The sequence below is a fragment of the Homo sapiens genome, chromosome 7 (assembly GCF_000001405.40).
Source record: "Homo sapiens chromosome 7, GRCh38.p14 Primary Assembly".
NCBI classification, from domain to species: domain Eukaryota; kingdom Metazoa; phylum Chordata; class Mammalia; order Primates; family Hominidae; genus Homo; species Homo sapiens.
In genome coordinates, this window is record NC_000007.14 from 55,238,344 (window position 1) to 55,260,626 (window position 22,283).

General features: G+C 46.6%; 1 long non-coding RNA gene and 2 pseudogenes across 1 annotated transcript, besides 3 other annotated features; 1 reads left to right on the plus strand and 2 right to left on the minus strand.

The window, feature by feature from the left end:
- Positions 93-17,292, minus strand: ELDR (EGFR long non-coding downstream RNA). Its single transcript, NR_110426.1, has 4 exons — positions 17,188-17,292; positions 16,844-17,075; positions 219-323; positions 93-120 (listed from the first exon to the last, which is right to left on the minus strand). It is a non-coding gene; the product is annotated as an EGFR long non-coding downstream RNA (long non-coding RNA).
- Positions 1,814-3,013: an enhancer, noted in NCBI's record as "BRD4-independent group 4 enhancer chr7:55307850-55309049 (GRCh37/hg19 assembly coordinates)". NCBI's record gives its function as "activates an origin of replication core promoter dependent on BRD2, P300/CBP, MED14 and CDK7 cofactors, and independent of BRD4, by STARR-seq in HCT116 cells {active_cell/tissue: HCT116}" and the evidence as "EXISTENCE:reporter gene assay evidence [ECO:0000049][PMID:35650434]".
- LOC100130121 (solute carrier family 19 member 3 pseudogene) lies at positions 5,904-7,338 on the plus strand (annotated as a pseudogene).
- Positions 16,409-16,968: a silencer, noted in NCBI's record as "silent region_18186". NCBI's record gives its function as "represses an Ori minimal core promoter by ATAC-STARR-seq in GM12878 lymphoblastoid cells {active_cell/tissue: GM12878}" and the evidence as "EXISTENCE:reporter gene assay evidence [ECO:0000049][PMID:35858748]".
- Positions 17,279-17,328: a silencer, noted in NCBI's record as "silent region_18187". NCBI's record gives its function as "represses an Ori minimal core promoter by ATAC-STARR-seq in GM12878 lymphoblastoid cells {active_cell/tissue: GM12878}" and the evidence as "EXISTENCE:reporter gene assay evidence [ECO:0000049][PMID:35858748]".
- CALM1P2 (calmodulin 1 pseudogene 2) lies at positions 21,339-21,951 on the minus strand (annotated as a pseudogene).

Genomic DNA, 22,283 nt, shown 5'->3' on the forward strand with positions numbered 1-22,283 from the left:
CGTGAAGAAACTGCTGAGCTCCTCATGGTGGGGCACTGCCCGCAGTCTAGGTGGAGCGTGTGCTCTGGGCTCGCACCTCCCAGCAAACCGGCTTCTCTCTCAGCATCCCCCGTCTAAACACTGTAATTGGGAGGAAAAAGATTGACAAGTGACTCAGTTATGGCTGCACTTCTGTGATGAGCTGCACATAGAGGGTGAAAAGGAGCAGTTCTGCTTACCTTTGAATTTTTATGAAAAAAGAGGAGCAGAGATGCATTAAGCCTGTGGAAGCACTTCCTGGCACTGCGAGTTTCCAATTCACCACTGGAGCGATTTTTACACACCTACATGAAATAAAGACCCGACAGTTGGGGTGGCTTCGTCACATAGAAAAATCTGTAATGATTCTGTGGAAATGAGCTTAGTAATTTTTAAATAACTCATCTAGAAGGAAATAGGACTTTTTAATATGCAGGCACAGCTTTCTTCTCAGCAATTCAAGGTAAATATTTTATAGAATGCCCACAGTGCTCTCGCCTGTTCCCAAACATTAGAAAAACCATAAACCATAAGGGTCCCCCAATGCCATGCACAGTATTATGTAAAATGTGAGTCTCTTTTATAAGTGGGAAAGAAGCATAAGCTGAAAAGACATACAGCTGTTTGGATTTCAATTTGGGGAACCAAGTGTATCCGCCTCATAGGACAACTCAGATTCTGGTGAAAAGCAATAACCACATTATGGCAGCAGAACAAGGGGCCAAAAGGGAGAAAAACAAAACGCAGTGGCTGCCTGTGCCTTCCCTCCCTTCCTTCTCCCTCAGTCCACTTGGTCAAGGAGTGGAGAGCAGATGTCATGAGCAGTGCAAGGTTAGAAATAACCAGGTCCATGCACGTTTGTGTCTTTCCACAATATCAGACTTCTACTGATGCTATTTCAGTCACTAAAGCCAGGAGCTCCATGGAGTTCCCAAGGAGGCATTCTCCTTAGTACACCTTGTTCACTCAGCAGTCAGAGCTATGGGCACACAGGCTCAGGCCACTCCACCAGTCAGACAATATTGCAAACCATACTTCATCAATCTGTAAATATTACAGGGTCCATATTCTGCAAAAAACAAAGTAACATTTAACAGCAAGAGGAAAAGGAGATAGTAAAAAGGGTTAACGAGCCAGTCCAGGGGAAGCGAAGAAGACAAAAAGAGTCCTTTTCTGGGCCAAGTGGTCCATCAGTCTTGGAAGGAAGAGTCTTAGAGGTGGCAGAGCCTTCAGTGGCAGATGCCAAGTTCTCACCATGAGTGACTGCAAGACAGTGTCAGTTAAGATGACCATTTGGAGCTGCCAAAGGCTTAGTGTTTGTGCCCTTATCTGGTTGGATGCAGTCTTTATTTTTTGTGTATTCATGTTTTTGTTTTATTTATGTTGTTGTTTTATTGTCTATTGTTTTTTATTTGTTTATTTAGACAAAACGTCTTATCCTTGTTGGCAGAGTGTTTGTGAAATATAAAATGGGAGTGTTTTCTAGGCTGGAGTTAGTTATGTCAGGGGTGTTCTACACAGCAGCGGGGAAGAAGCGGATGTCAGGCCAAGTGCCTGCCCAGGACAGCGAAAAGCCACTGGCTTCCAGGGTGGTGCTAGACCAGCCACCTAGGGTTCCAGCTGAGACTGTGGAACAAGGCTGAGCTTTATTAGCAGATTTTCTGGAGTCAGAAGTGTCTCGGCAAGGTGACAGGAGAGCCAGGTGGCTCTGTCCATGGAGATGCAGGGGGTAGGGAGGGGGCCGCAGGTGTTCAGTCTTGCCGGACGGATGCCAGGCTTGCGCTCGTTGTGCTGTGAAGAATTGAGAATCCCACCGTCAACAGATCAATCTGCTCCGCCCTCCTGCTGCAAGCCTGAAACAGGGTAAATCACGAAATGCCAGGCAGAGATGCGTGCTGAAGCCTTTTACAGCAGTACACCTGAGTTCGTGGATGAGGAAGTTCCTTTTCTTCACCCATGAAGGCAAAGAAGAGAGACATGACTTCTGGCAATTTTTGGCCAGTCACCCAGACCCCCTCATTTTCATGTTTTCCTGATTGCTCCTCTTCATCCTCCCTGCCACACCTGCTCAGGCCTTTCTCCTTCTGCCTCTTCTTTTCGGTTTTTCTCTCTTTTAAATATATCTTCACTGGTGTGATCCAGTGAGAACACTGGCCTTGGGCACACATGGGCTGGAATCCTGACTCAACCCGAGGCAGTCTTGTGATCACAGACAATTGACTTACCCTGCTGCACTGTGTTTTTCTCACATATGAAATGAAGATAATGCCGCCAATGACTGGCGTGACAGACTGCAGGAGATGTGTGTGAGACATTGCTGGCTGCGTCATCACAGGGCTGCCACTTGCACCTCCTCAGTCACTGATGTTACAGCAGCCAGTTGCCCGCTGAAAGCCACCGCCCTGTCCTTTGCTCCCACTGACCACCTGGGATGTCTCTCCCACCTGTCCTTGAGCACGCAGAAGAGAGGTGTGCCTCCTGCTGAAATAACACGTGGTTCAGAGGAACACGGAGTCACTGCATCTGATCACACACTCTTGAAAGCAGAGGTTTCCTGCCTCGTGTTCAGCCAGTCATGTTCCTATCACAGGGACGGGTTGCCTAATGCTGGCCAACCCCACCAGGCATGGCACCTCTGCCACTGTGAGTCCCAGGAGCAGTTGTAAATGCAAATTTTAGTCATTGCCACGTAGGTTCTTATTTGTGATAGGAAAAGCTGTAAAAGCAGGGGGTTAGCCCTAAGTGGTTGTAAGGAGGGGTCACGGGCACGCACCTCGCAGGTTCATAGTGAACACTGAGTGAGAGAGAGTGTGACAAGGCTAGCATGAGGCCTGGTCCCAGTGAGTGCCGGTCAGTAGTGCTCTCCCTTCCCTATTGTCACTACTTCTTTATCCTTGTCCATTCAGACGTCAGTGAGGAATACATAACAAAAAACAAACAAACAAAAAGGGCAAAATCAGAACAAAATGCATGAATCCAATGTTTTCCTCTTCGTGTGGATCTACTGTATCTCTCGTCCAACTTACAACTCGGACTCCACGAAGACAGAGACTGCCCTTCTGGCTTGGCAGCTATAGCAGTCAATATATTATCAATGCCCTGTCCAATGTCAGTGCCAAGGAGACTTTAGGAGTGACCCTGAGGGTCCTGCCAGGGAGTGTCTTCTAGACATGCATCTCCATTTTTGTTGAGTCTGTGGAAACAACTTTTGAAACAACTTTTCAGTAGTACATGGGCCAAAATTGTACAATATTATAAATATTGTTGAATGTCCTGAAATGAAAATATTGCACTGTGTTACAAACTCATCCCATTCCAGTCAGAGACCAAATGAAACTGAAGGTAGAGAAAATGCCAAGTGAGGGAGCAGGACCTCTTCCCTCATGGCTCAGCTTTTCCAGGCCGGGTACAGGGAGGGCTTGCGGCAGGCCCAGCCACCATATAGCCCTGTGGCTTCAGAGCCTGATGCCCAGATAGGAGCCAGCTGGTGACAGGCACAGAAGGCCCGTCTGCAGCCAGAGGCAGAAACATGGGGCGGAAAGCAGCAGACAAGGGTGAGCTCCACAGGACTTTCTGGCCAAATTCGTAACAATCTGAAGAGCCAAATAAATGATGATGGCAAAAGATTATAAACCAGTGGGTAAACAGGATTCATGAGTCCATAGTGACAAATAAATAAAAGTGAAAGGACTTCCTTCAAGTTGAATGCCAACTAGTAATTACAGAATAAAGGGTGGAAAGGTCGCATGCTGACCCTCACCCTGATGGGCATGGCCGCCAGGGCCTCTGCAGAAGTCAGGGCCTCGGTGCCCGCTGTTCTGGTGGGCACTGCACTCTTCACAACGCATGCACCGTAGTCAACAATCAGATAGCAACAACAATAGTAAAGAAGGTCAGTCCACTGAAGAATGTTCTTGACAAAGTGCCAAAAATTATTAATTTCATTGTCTTATTTTAAACCATTGTATGGAGGGCTGATGGACTTGTACAAAGCTGTGCATATTTCATGTGTACATCACAATGTGTCTGGGGATACGCATGCAGCCTAGAAACCATCACCTCCACCAAGGCCATAAACACATCCATCCCCTCCCCAAGTTCCTCCTGCCCCTTTGCTATTATTACTGTTTTATTGGGGATTTCTTTGTGACAAGAGCACTCCATGTAAGATCTACACTGTTAGTGAATTTTCAGCACTCAGTACAGAGCTATTAGACACAGACACCTTGCTGTAAATTAGATCTCCAGAATTTATTCAGCCAGCACAGCAGAAACTGTGTGCCTTTGACTATCTCACCCTTGCCCAGCCCCAGTAACCACCATTCTGCTCTCTGCTTCTATGAGTGTGACCACTTCAGACTGCCTGTAAGATCATACAGAATTTGTCTTTCTGTGCCTGGCTTATTTCACTTAATATAATGTGCTCCAGGCTCATCTGTGTGGTCACAAACGACAGGATTTTCTTCTCTTGAAGGATGAGTCACATTGTCTCATGTATGTGCACCACATTTTCCTTTTCCACTTTTCCATTGGTGGACATAGGTTGATGCCGTATCTTTGCTGTTGTAAGTAGTGCTGCAGTGACCATGGGAGTGCAGGTGTCTCTGGACACACTGATTCCATTTCCTTTGGGTGTATAGTAGTGGGATTGCTGGATCACATGGCAGTTCTATTTTTAATATTTGGGGAACCTCCATGATGTTTCCACAATGGCTGTATCAAATGTATTTCCACCAACAAAGTAGAGAAGTTCTTTTGTGCTGTATCCTTGCAGCACTTACCTTTGTTGTTTCTGTTTTTTTAATACTAGACATCCTAACAGGTGTGAGGTGATAGCTCCTTGTGGTTTTGATTTACATTTCCCTGGTGGTCAGTGATGCTGACCATCTTTTCATATACTCCTTGGCCATTTGTATATCATCTTTGGAGAAACGCATGCATAAAGTACTTCTGCTGAATGCTGAGCCATGGCAATCATCCTAAGGAAAAGCACTTGTGCTAAATTTTTTTTTTTTTTTTTTGAGACGGAGTCTCACTGTGTCACCAGGCTGGAGTGCAGTGGCACAATCTTGGCTCAGTACAACCTCCACCTCCCGGGTTCAAGCGATTCTCTTGTCTCAGCCTCCCTAGTAGCTGGGTCTACAGGCATGTGCCACCACGCCAGCTAATTGTTGTATTTTAAGTAGAGACAGGGTTTCACCATGTTGGGCCAGGATGGTCTCGATATCTTGACTTCATGATCCACCCACCTTGGCCTCCCAAAGTGCTGGGATTACGGGCATGAACCACTGCCCCCGGCCGCTAAATTTGATTTACAAGCGAAGCTAGCCAGCTTTTTCATGGAATACCAAATTCACTTAAAGAATGAATGACAGACAAATATGTTATTTACACTTGGATGTTAGGCAGACATGTGCTCAGAAATGAACAAACTGGGCCTGTTGCTTTAAAGAAAATAACTCTAGTTGCCAATGAGAAAATTCAAGGTTTTTAATGAACACTAAAATTTTGGAAAACCTGCAGTTCACTAGAAACTCAAGGTACAGAGGCAGCCTCAGGCCAAATTTAGTTTGATTTAACAATTCTCACCCTAGGAGACTCCCAATTTATTAACAAATTAATGTTTTTGAAGAATCTGTCAAGAAGAAAATAAATGTTTTCCTCCAAGCATACTTGTCCAACACAGCAATTCTTAAACTTTTTGATCTCAAGATCCCTGTTCATGCTTTAAAATTATTACGTGAAGGAGTACGAGAGATTCCAGCAGGAGAAAAGGGCATTGTGTCTGGGATTTGTAGCAGCCAGTAGCCGGAATGAGCAGAAATTGGATCTGAAGGCCTGATTCCAGAAAGAAAGAAACTCAGGGCATGGAAGAAACAGCTGTGGATGGTTTCAGAACTTTGCCAAGCAATTCCTCAACATATCTCACTATGCTCCTCTGCTTACTCGGATTGTTCTCCATGACAAGACCCCCAGAATCATTCCTTATCCCATATTTATCTGGACCAAGTGAAAACCCGAGCGCAGAGATCACGGATGAGGTCCTTCCTGTTTGGATACACTCTGCTCCCGGTGTCTGTGCTCTTGAGTCACCACAAGCCCATCACCCTCTCATAAGGGCTCTGCTTCATCATTCCCCAGCTGCTGCTCTTATTGGGCTAAGGGATGAAGACTACACAGGCTGTCGAGTTCTCCTCCAGGATACTCACTGACTCCCAGGTGGCCTACTCTATCAACCCATGAGCATGGTCAGCCCTGAGACACTGTCAGGAAGTGAGAGGCCACTGTAGGAGTGTCACGCTAACAGCTAACCCAGCGGCCCCCATGAAGGCTGACGCTTGGCATCCCTGGAGAATGGGTCACACTTTTACCTCATCGCATAGCCATAGTCTCTGCCTCCACAGCCTTCATTTTCTCACTTTTTCTATCAATGCCCAAGAAAAGAATGTTTTTCCATGCAAAACCCAGCAAAGAAATAAAGTCCCCAAGCCTGTGTGCAGGGTTAAAGGAACCTCATGAGAGTGAAGCACTAGGCTGCGAAGGGGAGAAACCCACTTGGGAAAAGCCCACCACTTCGGGGAACCTGGATGACGGCCCATAGAGCATAGTGCCACAAACAGTGACTCTGAAAGTTCGTGTTCCATGGTTCCAAGATTTGAAGTAGTGTTACTCCTCAGAGGCCTTTGTTACTAATCCCCACGGTGGGCTTTTTCCACCACAGGTTTTAACCTAGCTTTGAACTATGTTCAAGTCCTATGAGGTTGCAAAGCACCACCCCAATATTCTTATACCTATAACGGGGCACAGAAGCTACTGAAGCATTTGGTAGGGCTGTGGCTGCCTGTGCAGTGGGCTATGTGAAAATCAACTGGAGTCTCCTGGAGAGTGGGCTCTGGAAGTCTCCTCAGTCATCAACGCAGGCTCTTGACCTCTCGTGCACTATATGACCAAAGTCTACGCAGGCTATGTGGGCTATTTGCGATTCAAGTCCAGCTATGTGCTGCTTCTAACCCAGGCAGTATTCCAGACTGCAGTCCAGCTGAGCGTGGAATGTGTATCCTGGTGCCCGGATTCCACACTTCACTGCCTTGGTGATTCAGCCGACCCTCATCACTGTGACTGCAATTCATCAGAAAGGGCTCAGCCTGTGATCAGCATTCAGTTTGTAGTTTATAGGAGTTATTTTGCAGTCACTTCTAGAATTTTCCTAATAAGAAGAATATCTAATGCCTATCAGCCAAATGCCAAGAGGAAGGAGTTCAGAGCCCCGCTATGAGTCAGAACCCAGATGGGCCGCACCCAAAGGAGCTGAGCAGTATCACGCGAACAAAGTTCTAACCCTACAACATCAACTACTGCAGTGCTTTGCAAAGTTACTGAATGAAAACGCAGGGTTTTGAGATGGATGTCATATGTTTTGCCATAAGTTGACACACTTTGCAAGTCTGGATTCTAATGAATCTTTTTTTTTTTTTTTTTGAGACGGAGTCTCTCTCTGTTGTCCAGGCTGAAAGGCAGTGGCACAATCTCAGCTCATTGCAATCTCTGCCTCCCAGGTTCAAGCGATTCTCCTGCCTCAGCCTCCCAAGTAACTGAGATTACAGGCACGCATCACCACGCCTGGCTAATTTTTGTATTTTTAGTAGAGACAAGGTTTCACCATGTTGGCCAGGATGATCTCAAACTCCTGACCCCAGGTGATCTGCCCGCCTCGGCCTCCTAAAGCGTTGAGATTACAGGTGTGAGCCACAACACCCAGCCCTGATTTTAATGAACCTTTTCAAAACCACAAAAAAAAAAACCTCAGTTTTAGATCAGACAGCTATGTGCCCGCCTGAACTAAACTCAGTTGACAGGGCCCATTATCACAATTCAACAACTCATGTTGAAGACCCCGTGAAGAGCAGTAACAACAATTCTAGTTGTGATCACTTGCAAGGGCATGCTAATGGCACAGAAACCAACCATGGGAAAACTCCAGCGCTCCCGGAGTTGACGTTCCCCACCTGTCAGCACAAATACAAACTGGACCAACCCTGTTGCTTGGCTTCAATACTTGTTTGATCTTACCAGAGCAGGCAACACATGGACATTTTTGTCTCATGAGCCATTTTCCTCTGTTGAACTTATGATTCTCTGAGAACCTGAGAATTACAATAACAGCATTATTTACAAGCTGTGATTTGATAATGTGCCACTTAATGTTTTACATGATTATTTTGCATTTTGTGCTTTGCCGAGCTTTGTTGTTGAAGCTCCATGTCAAGAATAGCACCACACGCCCCTGTGTGTCTGCAAAATGACAGCCTCTGCAATTCTCTGAGGCCCGGGAGGGACAATGAGCCTTCTCCCCACATGACCCTACATGGGGGTTTCAATGCTATGTCAGTGCAATATGTCTACAGGAGGAGGCATACAAGGAATCTCCAGAGGTTTCTAGGAGTATTTGTAAGTAAAACAGTAATAGAGGTGAGGATGGTGGGAATAAACACCTAATTTTTAAATGGTAGAGATTGTGCTAAATAAAATGTATTCAAAAAATTACTAAAGACTCCAAAGAGCTTTGGTTATGTGGTTTAAATCTATCAGTACTCGCTGAAGTAGAAATTAAAGGTAAGAAACTTTTCAAGTATTTATTAATTCATTTAAAATAACAATAATAAACTACACGTTAACATAAATGAAAAAATTATTTTAAAAAATAATGATTTTCAAATGAAAATTTAGTAAGGGGAGTGGCACATTTATGTTTTCACAAATATCTTTAATCTGTTGTGGTATGCTATCATGATTGAAATATTTGCATAAAATCCAGAAAAGGGAAGAGTATTCATCTTTTTGGGGTAATTGTGGATATTCTTTTTGATATTACACCAAAACGCAAAAATAGTAGTTTATCAAAGGTTCCTTGCGATGTGGAACGTGAAACCATGTCAATTAAGGCTTCTTATTCTGTCACACTCATATCCATTGCAGCTTGAATAGATCTTTTACTCAAGCAGCATTTTGTAGCAAAATGCACTGGTCATTTGGAAAATACTGGATCCTTGAGTTATGAATTTTTTCAAATGTTGTCACATTTCATTATACGATACCACAAATCACATCTGTTCATGCCACTGCTTATCTCATCAGAGAAGTCATTAGGTATTGCAAAACTGTCAGGCTCATGGGGGCAGACATAAGTTTTCCAAAATCAAAGTTATTTCTTTATAAAATATAATCACTGTTTATTTATTAATCAAAGTCAAAATGGGAAATAAAATATTTACCAGATCACTGCACTAATCCCTTTTCTGCTCTGATTCATAATTTAGGATTCCTAGCTATCAGAGATAGCAGGGTGCCAGCTGGGGTCAGGTTTCCTCTCCATCTTAGCAGTTCTGTGCTGAAAAATGTAGTTTCTTTTCATGGTGTGACCTTTTTATGAGTCCTAAGTATAGACTGGCCATTTGTAGTTGAGCTTCTGTATGGGAGCCTTCTGGTATCTTCACATAGCTGTGTTGTGTGTTTGGGGAAAGAGCTCTGCTTTTCCCACATTGAGGAAAACTCACTGCTTCCTAGGACTGGTGCATTACTGTCTTCCAGGAACTTCTCTTCAGAGTTCTCTTGGTTTAGATCCACTATTTCCTGGATCGCACAGCTTTTTAAAATTTGCTATTTGTTTTTGCCAGGTTACAGCCTTGCAGTAGTTTTCAAGAAAGATACAGAGGAGTGAAAGCAGAGGTCTCAAGGCCCTCACTGGCATGGGTGGCTTCCAAGCCCTTGGCCTTAAATTCACATGACTAATATTTTTGTAAAATTTGCAAAAATAAAACCATTCCTTTTCTACACTATCAATAAAAAACAAAATTTTGGGCCGGGCACGGTGGCTCGTGCCTGTAATCCCAGCACTTTAGGAGGCCAAGGCGGGTGGATCACGAGGTCAGGAGTTCAAGACCAGCCTGGCCAACATAGTGAAATCCCATCTCTACTAAAAATACAAAAATTAGCCAGGCCTGGTGGCAGGCGCCTGTAGTCCCAGCTACTCAGGAGGCTGAGGCAGGAGAATCGCTTGAACCCGGGAGGCGGAGGTTGCAGTGAGCCGAGATTGCACCACTGCACTCCAGCCTGGGTGACAGAGCGAGACTCTGTCTCAAAACAAACAAAGAAATAAAAAGAAACAAAATTTTGAGCAACCTTAGTAAAGAAAGGACTGAATATTTCTACTCTATAAAAATATTACGAATTGTCATTATATCAAAAGCAATCAAAGCGTGTGGGAGGAAAATACTGGCTGCCCTTTTTAGTGGAGTGGGGTTGGCACAGCAGGGCAGGTTCTCAGCTGGTCCACACCATCACCATCGCTGCACCCGCCGGCCGAGTGCGGAAGGTCTTCTGCACGTCCTTCCCTTGTGGTCTCCTTTGCACTCGCCAGCACCATTCCTAAATGGTCTTTGCATTTTCCTCTTTCATCTGACACACAGATGCCTACATGTCACTTTTGTTTTCTGAAATTATACAGAATTATCCTTTGCATAGACTGTGGTGTTCGAAGCCCCATCTGATTTCTAGTTTTGTGTGATGACATCCACCACCATCATCATCCTTCATGCACCTCATATCCCAATGTCTGCTTGGCTCACTATTTCCAGAAGCTGTTTCTGCTGCCTGGGATGTCTTTATTGCCATCCATCCCATAGGACTTGGCTCACAACCCAGTCCTTCTCTATAAAGCTTCCATAGACCCAAGCATCCTCCTCCTCCCAACCAAACTAGCCACACGCCTGCTGAACTCTGCTAGTATATCTGTGGTAGCTCCTGCCCTTATATTCACTCATGTGACTGTCTCTCTCTAGGTCATGAGCTTCTGCAGACAACAAACTCTTTACCCTGGGCAGCTAGCACAATGGTTTGTAATTAAATAATATTTATCATTTAACTTGAGAGATTAGCAAGAGATATATATGGTTCTGTGAATAGGACCTCCTTGGGTAGAAAGATCAAGAAGAGCCAGAGAACCAGAACTACGCAGACTTTTTCCTGGGGAAGCTCAATTATATTCTGAGTTTGCTGAGACTTTGCATCTTTGAAATTTAGAAAACTAGAGCAGTAAGAGCCTCTTTCCTCTGGTTTCATCATTAAGAGTGACGCAGAACTGCCTCCTTCAGACCATGACCCGAGTTTCAGGTTAAGTGAGGAGGCTCCGGCAAAGCGATCTCTCCACATTCCTCCAGGAGAGGACTGTGCAGATTGCAAAGGAAGGAGGCATGCCTGGCCATCTGAGAGCTGTGACTACAGCTCCCTCCAGACGATTTCCAGTGGAGCAGGCCTCATAATGTGGAGGTCGGCATACAGTACAGTCTGTCTCCTCGACCCCAGCTCCCACTCCTGCAGTCAAAGAGCCTGGACCTGGGCTCTGAGCCCTGTACAAGGATGAGAAGCAGAGGCAGCACTTCAGGTTTTTGTCCAGGTTTGATCATGAATGAGTAGAAGGCCCAGTAACTACCTTCCGCCTAAAAAAAACATTTTATTGGCTCCTCAAAAAGCAGGAATACAGGAGCAACTGACTCTTCTCTCTCTACCAACACCACCCTTTGACTCCCCTCACTTTGTCTCCTTTGCTCCTCACATGTTGTGGTGAAGGGAAATCCTACGGTCAAATAGTTTGCAGGAGAGCAGGGCCAGTAGACGCAAGGCTCAGTTAAAGACTTGAAGACCTGGAGAGAGAAAATCAGGGGCCCAAATGGGACCTCTGCTGCCAGGACTCCAAACTCCTGTTGTCAAAACTGTAAAATATTTTCAGAATCTAGTTATCAATTATTTTATTTTTTCTGTGATAGGAGAAAATCATGGAAGTCAATAAAGTAAGATTTAAAATAGGCCTCAAATTATTTTTTTACGGATGGTAAAAAAATAATGCATGTAGAAAAAAATACAACAGAGAAAACTTGGAAACATTTTTTTAAGTTGAAATAAAAGGTCGAATCATCCATCAGGGGCCCATGTTCTATTTTTTCTTTGCGGCTCAGGCACAGAGCTTCAGCACACAGCCTCCAGGGGGCTGTCCTGAGTCTAACCACAGTATTCCCGGAGAAAGGAGGCAAGGGCTGGGAAGGAGTGTGTCGCTGCTCTTCAGTGCCCTTCTAGGAGCTGGTGTCCACATGTCACTCGTGTCCCATCGGAGTGATTCACACGGCCACACCTCACTGGGAAGTAGAGTCTACTCTGGGTGGTTGTTCACCCAACTAAAAATTCCAAATGCATTATTGTAGAGAGAAGGGAGGGCAGGCATGGGAGAGTGCCAGTAGCCTCCAGCACAGGGTCAAATCCCAAGGACAATCTATGTTAGGCCAGCAGCAAATGAGGATGAAGACGCAAATGGGAGAGACTAAGAGGAACTGTGCAGGGAAGTCAGGGGCTGCAGCAGCCCAGCCAGAGAGGCCCAGACACAGAGATTCTTAGGAGGAAAACGAGGCAGCTGACTCCAGGAGAGAATCCAGGGGAAAAGATATATTTGGAGGGTTTTTTTTTTTTTTTTTTTGAGACGGAGTCTCGCTCTGTCGCCCAGGCTGGAGTGCAGTGGCGGGATCTCGGCTCACTGCAAGCTCCGCCTCCCGGGTTCACGCCATTCTCCTGCCTCAGCCTCCCAAGTGGCTGGGACTACAGGCGCCCGCCACTACGCCCGGCTAATTTTTTGTATTTTTTGTAGAGACGGGGTTTCACCGTTTTAGCCGGGATGGTCTCGATCTCCTGACCTCGTGATCCGCCCACCTCGGCCTCCCAAAGTGCTGGGATTACAGGCGTGAGCCACCGCGCCCGGCCTGGAGGGTTTTTAAGTGAAGTTATACCATAGGGTTTGCAGCATAAACCCTCTACACTGAACACCTACAAAATCCCTGATAAAGGTCTCGTGGCTTGTTAACGTGGTTTGGAGTGGACCTGTTTGGGTAAAGATTTGGGGGGACCCATGTCAGGGTGGGCTGAATCATTGTGCTTAAAACACACCAGAGATTGCATGGTGTATTGCAGCGGGTGATTGGTGATTGGTAGGTGAAAGAAAGATGTGCTCATTCATCCCTGAGTGGAGAGATCTCTCTGGGCTAGCCACAATGTATGAAAACAGGGCATGAAGAATGTCTCCAGCCCACATGGACTGCATTCTTGCTGGTTGGGAATGTGTCCCCAAGTTCTCCACCTTCCTGTACTAGTTAAGAAGGAAGGGCCAGGTGCAGTGGCTTGTGCCTGTAATCCCAGATATGCAGGAGGATGGCCTGAGGCCACGAGTTCGAGACCAGCCTGGGACACATAATGAGACTCCATCTCTAAAGGTAGTTTGTGCCTGTAGTTCCAGCTACTCAGGAGGCTGAGGTACACTTGGCAATTGATTACCATTCACCTTGACATCAGTGAAAGTTTTCCTGGAGATTGGGGTGTGGTTGTCTTTTGCTTTACCCTACTGTGCCTTTGCCCATGTTTGTCTTTCCTTGATTCCATGGTTTTCTGTGGAAACTGAGGGAAGCATGAGTTTGTGCCACTGTCTGGTGTCACAGAGGCCTGAGGTCTGAAAAGGTACTCTCGACCTGAGGAGTTGTCGGGTGATGGGGAGAGCATTCTAGGCAGAAACAACAATATGAAAAAATAGAGAGTTAGGAGCCCAAAGCCACAAATCAGAAATCAAGAGCAAAGAGAGCTGGAGAAGGTAGGGTGGAGTAAAAACACGTCTAGAAAGATCTAGGGCTCAGTGGGTCAGCACATCTCCTCTGAGGCGTCAGTTCCAGTCAGCTGAGAACTGCAGCCTAGTGGGGGCCTCCCGCACATTGGAAAGAGTACCTGGATTAGTCAATGAGGTTTGCCTCCAGGGGCTGGTCCTCTTTAGGAAGACCAGCAGACGCAAGGATACCTCATCACAAGCCTAAGTTAAGGGCATAGAGGGCCTGGGATGCCACTAAGAAGTCCGAGGTCTGTCTAAAGGGGCTCATTTCATAACTGAATGCCAAATACATTCAGTGATCTCAGGGTCCCAGGGCCTGCTCTTGACTAAAAATTAAGCTGAAACACCCTCTATTAAAAGCTGGCCAGAGGAGATGGTGGGTTGAATGTGGCTCCTGGGCCATGTTTGCCTCTGGAACACCAGTGCAGAGCAGCAGGGACAGGAAGAGCCCCAGGGACTTGCAGACTGGGAGGAGAGGCTTCCAGCTGCCTCTGAAAGGGAGCTTTGCTCTTTCCAATTTTCTGTTCTTTCTGTGAAAAAGTTTAAGTCCTTCTGGAGCTGGGCTGATGGCATGTGAGTGTTACCATGTGTCATTCTGTAAGTGCTCTCTGCAAATTCCTAGAGATTCTCCCTCATGCCCCAGGGGAAAAGCAATTTTTATTGTCCCACTGTGATCCATGAATCTTATCCCCAGTGTCTATGAATCCTGACTGTTGGACTTCAAACCCTCTGGGCCCTTTCTCAAAGAGCTCCACGGAAAGCAAGCTCCTGATGGCTGCCCTGACACTTCAGGCTTCCTGAAGTGTCTACTCAAAATAGTCCCTAACCTAAGGGCATGACTTTAGTAATGTAAGTTTTAAGCTTCCGCATGTCAAATTCCCCAATCCACCCAAAACAATTTCCTAAGGGCTAGCTTCCTGGGACCCCCACATTCCCCATTTTTCTGCCTAAGCCCACGTCTGGACATGGCTTGGTTCATTGCTCACAAACGCTCCTACCCTCTCTCCCCACCACCCCCTCACTTGGGCCATGCATCTGTGTCATCTTCCAGCAGCTCCTGGATCTGACATTCATTGGCTGTTTAGGTTACTATTCCCTCCATGCCCATGATGCCACTGTGGTTTGTGCTTCTTCATGTGAAGTTAAAGGAGAAGATATCTAAGAACATAACCTTGAGAGCACTAGCAACCATAGGTGGACTGTGAGGAGAAAGCCAATGAAACATGTTGAGGAGAAATAGGCAGAGAAGCAAGCAGGCAGCTTTGCAGGAGTCAGAGGAGAGGAACATTGTGAGGAGTGCACGATCTGGGTCAAACACCAGAGGGATGGTGTGGAAGACAAGGACTGAAAAATGTCTACTGGATAATTCTACCAAGCGGGGCAGCTGGGCACAACCACAGAGGAACTGACTTAAGGGGAAATTGTGCAGCCAGTAGTCAGGTGGAATCCAGATGTCAGTGGGACCTAGTGGAAGGGGCTTCAATTTTTGAATCGCTCAAGGTTGGCCAGAAGCTGGCTCTGTAATCTTGGACAAATAACAACTTCTCTGAGCCTCAGTTTCTCTTCTATAAAATGGACATAAAACACCTTCCTTGCAGAGTGTGATGGTTAATACTGAGTGTCAACTTGATTGGATTGAAGGATACAAAGTACTGTTCCTGGGTGTGTCTGTGAGGGTATTGCCAAAGGAGATTAGCATTTCATTTCAGTGGACTGGGAGAGGCAGACCCACCCTCAATTGGGTGGGCATCATCTAATCAGCTGCCAGTGCAGGTAGGATAACAGCAGGCAGACAAACGTGGAAGGACTTGACTGGCTGAGTCTTCCCGCCTCCATCTTTCTTCCGAGCTGGATGCTTCCTGCCCTCAAACACTGGACTCCAAGTTCTTCAGCTTTTGGACTCTTGGGCTTACACCAGTAGTTTGCCAGGTGCTCCCGGGCCTTCAGCCACAGACTGAAGACTGCATTGTTGGCTTCCCTACTTTTGAGGTTTGGGGACTCAGACTGGCTTCCTTGTTCCTTAGCTTGCAGACAGCCTATTGTGGGACTTCACCTTGTGATCGTGTGAGTCAATATTCCTTAATAAACTTCCCTTCATATATAGGTCTATCCTATCAGTGCTGTCCCTCTAGAGAACCCTGACTAACATAGAAGAGTTGTGAAAATGACCGTTGGTCTGCCCTCACCCTTTCCCTCTTGTCCTTTAACCGCATGCGCTCAGTGTTACCTTCCGTGGCACCTGCTCACCGTCATCCCGTGGTGACTCGTGTGGGTAACTTCATCAGAGAAGACCCTGCCTGTCACCTCAGGTACAGCCCACGAAGTAAGGTGGCTGCAAGCGCAGATCCTGCACCTGCCCAAGGTGAAACAAATCAGCTCCCGGAGCCTGAGGTGCAAAGGGCAGGAAGCTCCCTGCGCACCCCTGCGGCCCCAGCGCGGCTCTCCCAGTCCCGCTGCCTCCCACTCCGAGCCCCTGCCGTCTGGGACCCGCTCCACCTCCCGCTCCCGGGCCCTCGGGGCATCCTGTCTCCATTCGCAGCCCAGTGCCCTCCACTCCCACGGCCTCGGGTACAGCTTCCACAGGGAAATCACCCACATCTGTGTCTCTCGCCTCGTTCCCAGTCCTGAGGCCGACGCATGGCCACTGAGCACACAGATCCAGCACAGCGTCCCTCGCCTTTCCCGCGCCCCGGGCAGAGGATGAGCACCAGGCCAGCCCTGCAGCTCACGCCGGCAGCCCTGGGCTGGCTCCGCACCCGCGCCTCGGGCTTCCACGGTGGACCCAGGAGACACCCTCTCGCCCAGCCCAGCTTCCCTGCGGGACTGAGAGGGAGAAGGGAGGAGTCGGGGAGCGAAGGCGGAGGCAGAGCTGGGCTGCGGGAGGAGGCGCGACGGCGGCACCGGCGGGATGGAGCAGCGGGATCCCGCGGTGACCGGGCGGATGGAGTGGCCGAGAGCGCCCCCTGCCGGCCAAGGGTCCCCCCTCACACACTCCCGGTGTGGCCGGGAAGGCGGGAGCCGGGTTCCCTGCCGGGAAGGCGGGAGCCGGGTTCCCTGCCGGTGGAGCCGGCGGCTCAGCCGGGCCCCGCACGCACCGGCCCCGCAGGGCCAGGTCCCCGCCTCCAGGCCCACCTTCGGCGCTCGCAAACGTCCGGGTGGCTGCGGCCTGGCCACCATCCAGGCCTCGCCCACCGGCAGTTGCCCGGGTCCACACAGGGACAAGCTCGGTCTCCGCCGCGTCCCGCCTGAGCCTCGCCCGCGCCCAGGGGACTCCACGCTGCACAGGGAGAGGGCCGCTCCGTGTGACAATGCAAGAAGGGCGAGCTCTCTTTTCCACCTGTCTCATCTCAGTGTGAACGGCGCCCTGGAAAACAGAACTGTTCAGGGACTTCTGAGGAGCTCGGCCAACGCTCTTGCCTCCCTACATTTTCCCGAAATCTGCCTTTCAAACAGGCTTCCTCTTGTCACAGACGAACCCATCTCCACGTTAGAGTGCATCGTGGCGTTTCCTATTTTCATAAAAGCCAGCGCCCTGGAATTGTCAGTCTGTTCTTACACTGTGAGTGTAACGGCCCTCTGTTAAATCTCAGCAAACCCTCGCGCGCCAGAGAGGCCAGCCCCAGAGCCCGCGCCCTGGAACGCGGCGGACCGCGGGTGCCCTCTGCGGGTGGCGCGTGGCCTGCGCAGCGATCAGGTCCTCAAGTCCCGAAGCCCCAGTGCCAGCCTCCGAAAAGCTGGCCCGGCAGGAAGGAGCCCAGTTCCTGCCCACTGCCTTCCGACGTCCTGTAAGTGGACCCCGCTTCCCGGGCCTCAGTGGTCTGGTCTGGAATGAAGAGTCTGAGCCAGGTGGTCCCAAGCGCTGCCGGGCTCCCACATTTTCTGACAATGAGGTAATCAGTCACGTGCACTTGCCAAGGTTTGGGCACCAGACTCTTTGACACCTGGTGTAGACTCAGCAAAATCCCATGAGCCACTATGCCCTTCAGATCAATGGACTATCACCTACTTCATTCGGACTTTTCGACCTCAGGTGAGACTGGAGAGAAACCTGGGACAGAGGAGACAGCTGGCTGAGATTCCCGTTCCTGCGTCTGAAGGCTGGAGGGTATGGAGAGTCCCTAGACAGTGGCACTCACGCCTGCTGCGCCCTGTGCTGCAGGTTGTACGCGATATAAAACATGACACTGACTGCCCGTGAGGATCTTGACAAGTTGTTTTGAAGATGGCATTTTGCTAAGTCCCTGAGGGTCACTGGTCCTCAAAGCGGCATGGCGGCATGGCGTGGCTGGTTCTGCCACATGCCAGCTGTGTGACCTCTGAGACTCCACTTCTTCAGTGCTGAAAATAAAGAAGGAGTTTTACTAAGGACCAAACAAGATAATGAATGTGAAACTGCTCCACGAACCCCAAAGAATTATGCACATAGATGCGATCATTAAGATGCGAAGCCATCGAGTTACCACCTGGCATGCTTAAACTGTAAAGAGTGGGTCAAAGTAAACTGAATTGGAAAATCCAAAGTTATGCAGAAAAACAATAAAGAGGTCTTACGTAGCAATACCGAACTTATGTCAGGCACTATTTCTCAAAACACAACTCCACTGAGATGCTCCAAGGAAAGAAAGGATTTTGTGGGCAAAAGCTTGATGCCCCTCTAGGGCACTCACAATGCTCGTCAGCACACAGAGCTACAAATAGTTCAGATTTTGCCACCCAATTTGTTGCCAAAAACATTCAATTTCCAGATCTGCTTTGGATTTCAGAATTGCAGATTCAAAACATTGTAAACCCTGGATTAAAACCCATTAAAAGTTTCCTGTCTGAGTTGCTCCTATGTCTCTCGTCTCTTCAGAAGAATTTATCTTTTTCTTTTTGACAATCATTCTTTCATAAGAATTGGTCTTTCAACCTACTTTTAGTTCACCTAGTTGTTGGAAATTTAGTAGAAAAAATAACCTTGCCTTTTAGGGTTGATTTAGGTTAAAATGTCTAAGGTATATAAAGTGCTTATCATGTAACAAGGCACACGAGGGTTTATTACGTGTGATACACCTGTGGTGGAAGGGGTTTCTTGTGGCCTCAGGTCATGCAGGAGGGATTCCACCCCACAACTGCTCCAAAAAAAGCACCCATGCCACCACCTCACACCAATATTCTGAACCCCACGATAGTGACCTAACAAGTGTAAATAATAGTGAAAATCACAGGACAGACTAGTTGAACTCAGGACTGACCTAGAACATATGATATGCCAGATGACATGAGAGATGTAGATAGACGACATGAGAAAATGAGATCAATTGTCTAATAGTTGATTGATCCTTCAATGCCAGATTTTTATCTGCCATATAATTCTTACTGATTATATAGGCTGAAAGGCAGAGGAGGGATGATGATTCTATCCAATGAATATGGAGAATGGCTCCAAATTTTAACTCTCTAAAACATCACCATGTGCTGTGTCTTTTCCTACAAATCAGGATCTTTTTTCAACCAGTACATACCTCCTTGACCTGACAACACTTAATATAGGCAAAAAAAAAAAAAAAAAAAACTGTTCCCAAGTTGAGTATAATCATATCTGTAATTATATCCATAATCACAAGGATAACCACTGTTCCCAAATTAGGTATAGTCATGTAATAGCAGGCCCAGTTCTGGGCTTTCTATGCCTTTTATCTGTTTGTTGATCCTTATGCCTGTGCCACATTGTCTTGATCACTGCAGCTTTATTGGCTTTCTATAAGTTTTTTGTTTGTTTGTTTTTGAGACAGAGTTTCGCTCTGTCGCCCAGGCTGGAGTGCAGTGGCGCGATCTCCACTCACTGCAAGCTCTGCCTCCCGGGTTCACACCATTCTCCTGCCTCAGCCTCCTGAGTAGCTGGGACTACAGGCGCTCGCCACCACGCCTGGCTAATTTTTTGTATTTTTAGTAGAGACGGGGTTTCACCACGTTAGCCAGGATGGTCTCGATCTCCTGACCTCGTGATCCACCCTCCTTGGCCTCCCAAAGTGCTGGGATTACAGGTGTGAGCCACCGCGCCCGGCCGGCTTTCTATAAGTTTTGAAAGCTGGCAATGTAAGCCTGCCAACTTTTTTTTCCCCTTTTTCAAGATGGCTTTGCAGATTCTAGGTGCTTTGCATTTCCATATAGATTTTAAAAAATCATTTTGTCAATTCCCACAAAAAGTCCTGCTGGGCTTTCACGGAATGTATACACCTATTTGGGAAGAACTGCTATCTTAATAATAGTGACTCTTATAAGCCATAAACATGGTATATATTTCCATTTACTTAAGTTTTCTTCAATATTTTCACCACCATTGTGTAGTTTTCAGTATAGAGGTCTTACACATTTTTGTTGATTTATTGCAAAACATTGCATGTTTCTGTTCTTACAGTAAATATAATTTTTAAAATTTCCTTTTCTAATTCTGTACTGTTAGCATACTAAATTTACATCGATTTTTGCATAATAACCATATAGACTGCAACTTTTTATTAGCTCTAGTGGTCATTTTGTAGATTCCTTAGAATTTTCTTTTTAAGTTAATCATCTTTTTATTGGGGAAAAAAAACTAGCATTTACAACTCGGAATGGAAGTAAACTGTAATTTGTTGAACGGTAATGTTGATGACTGTGCTGAAGCCCACAGCCACAGCTTACTCTGCTGGCTCAAAGTCATGGTTCAGAAGGTTTTAAAAGCAGAGTCCAAAGATGCTCCCTTGGTAAAGGTTTTTTGTTAAAAATGTGTGTGAACAGTGACAGCCGTTTCACTCTAGAACAATGCAGACAACGCTAAATCAACATACGTGGGCATGCCACCAGGGTATGTCATCGTCACCATGGGTCACAGCACACAGAAGTACAAGATGACCATCCCGCTAGTGGGGCTACGTCTCAACAGTTTATCCTTCACCCCATTTTTCTGCACATCATCCTAAGATAAACCAATTTTAAATGTTCGTTTTCAGTAAACCAGTTATGACAATTTATACTAAACAAATTGAACCAGAATCCATTTGAATAGGTTTTGGATTTGTTTTCTCCTTTTTTTTTTTTTTTTTTTAAATACAAATGGCTGACTGCTCTCAGTCGTCAGGCTGCATGCATGAAAAACTGGCCGGCCCAAACAGTGTATTAATCATGACTAAATGGAACTTTGAGGAGTCCTTATTATTAAGGTAGTACATGTACTTATATTGTAAAACTGATGTGTAGCTTGGTCTTTAGGGGACAGGACCACCAACAAATACATGCAGATTTTGTGTGTTTGGATAGAAGGTACTTTTGACATTCAGTTTTGCTATACAGAAACAGAATGAATCTGTTGGGCATGGTGGCTCACGCCTGTAATCCCAGCATTTTAGGAAGCTGAGGTGGGCATATCACTTGACTCCAGGAGTTTGAGACCAGCCTCACCAACATAGCAAAACCCCGTCTCTACTAAAATACACAAAGATTAGCTGAAAGTAGTGGCTCACGCCTGTAATCCCAGCTAATTGGGAGGCTGAGGTATGAGAATTGCTTGAACTCAGGAAGCAAAGGTTGCAGTAAGCCAAGATTACACCAATGCACTCCAGCCTGGGTGACAGAGCAAGATTCTGTCTTTAAGAAAAAAAAAGAAAGAAAGAAACAGAAACAAAAAATTAGAAACTTTTTTCTTTTTTCTTTTTTTTTTTTTTTTGCAAAAGGTAAGTAAAAGATTCCATTTGATTCTTCTAGAACAGGGAAAAGGGGTTGGAAGTAGGTCTTCATTTTGCAGTCATCATCTGTATTAATTCTTCATAATCAACTTGTCTGTCTCCATCAATATCTGCTTCTGTCATCATTTCATCTACTTCTTCATCTATTAGTTTTTCTCCTAAGTTTGTCATGACATGACGTAGTTCTGCTGCACTGATGTAACCTTTGCCACTATCGTCAAAGACTGGAATACCTCACGATTTCTTCTTCACTATATGTGTCTTTCATTTTTCTAGCCATCATGGTCAAAAATTCGAGGAATTAAATGGTGTCATTGCCATCAGAATCCACTTCATTGATCATGTCCTGCAATTCAGATTCTGCTGGGTTCTGACCCAGTGACCTCATGATGGTTCCAAGTTCCTTTGTTGTGATAGTGCCATTACTATCTTTATAGGACAGGGAGAAAGCTTCCTCGAATTCAGCAATCTGTTCTTTGGTCAGCTGATCAGCCATGGTGCCAGTGAAGGGAGGAAGAGCAGAAGGGGCGAGGGGGCAGCATCGGCACTGGGGACTGCGGGGAGCCTCCTCCGCTGCTACTGCTGCTGAGGGCATGCTGTGCACTGTGCACTGTGCCACCACGTGTCTCCACCTGCTGTGAGTAATGGCACCTCAACCATGACATTCCCAGCACCACTGCACAGGACTTTTTAATATAAGCAATAGCAAGTCACGACTACAGACGACTAAAATCCAGGCCGGGCTATACCCACAAAATTGTGTCTCTCTGTGGAATGTGGACCCTGGAAAAATGAAAGAGGGGAAAAACTGAAGATGTTTCATTAAGGCACTAAAACTTTATGTTTACATGGCTAACAGAAATGAA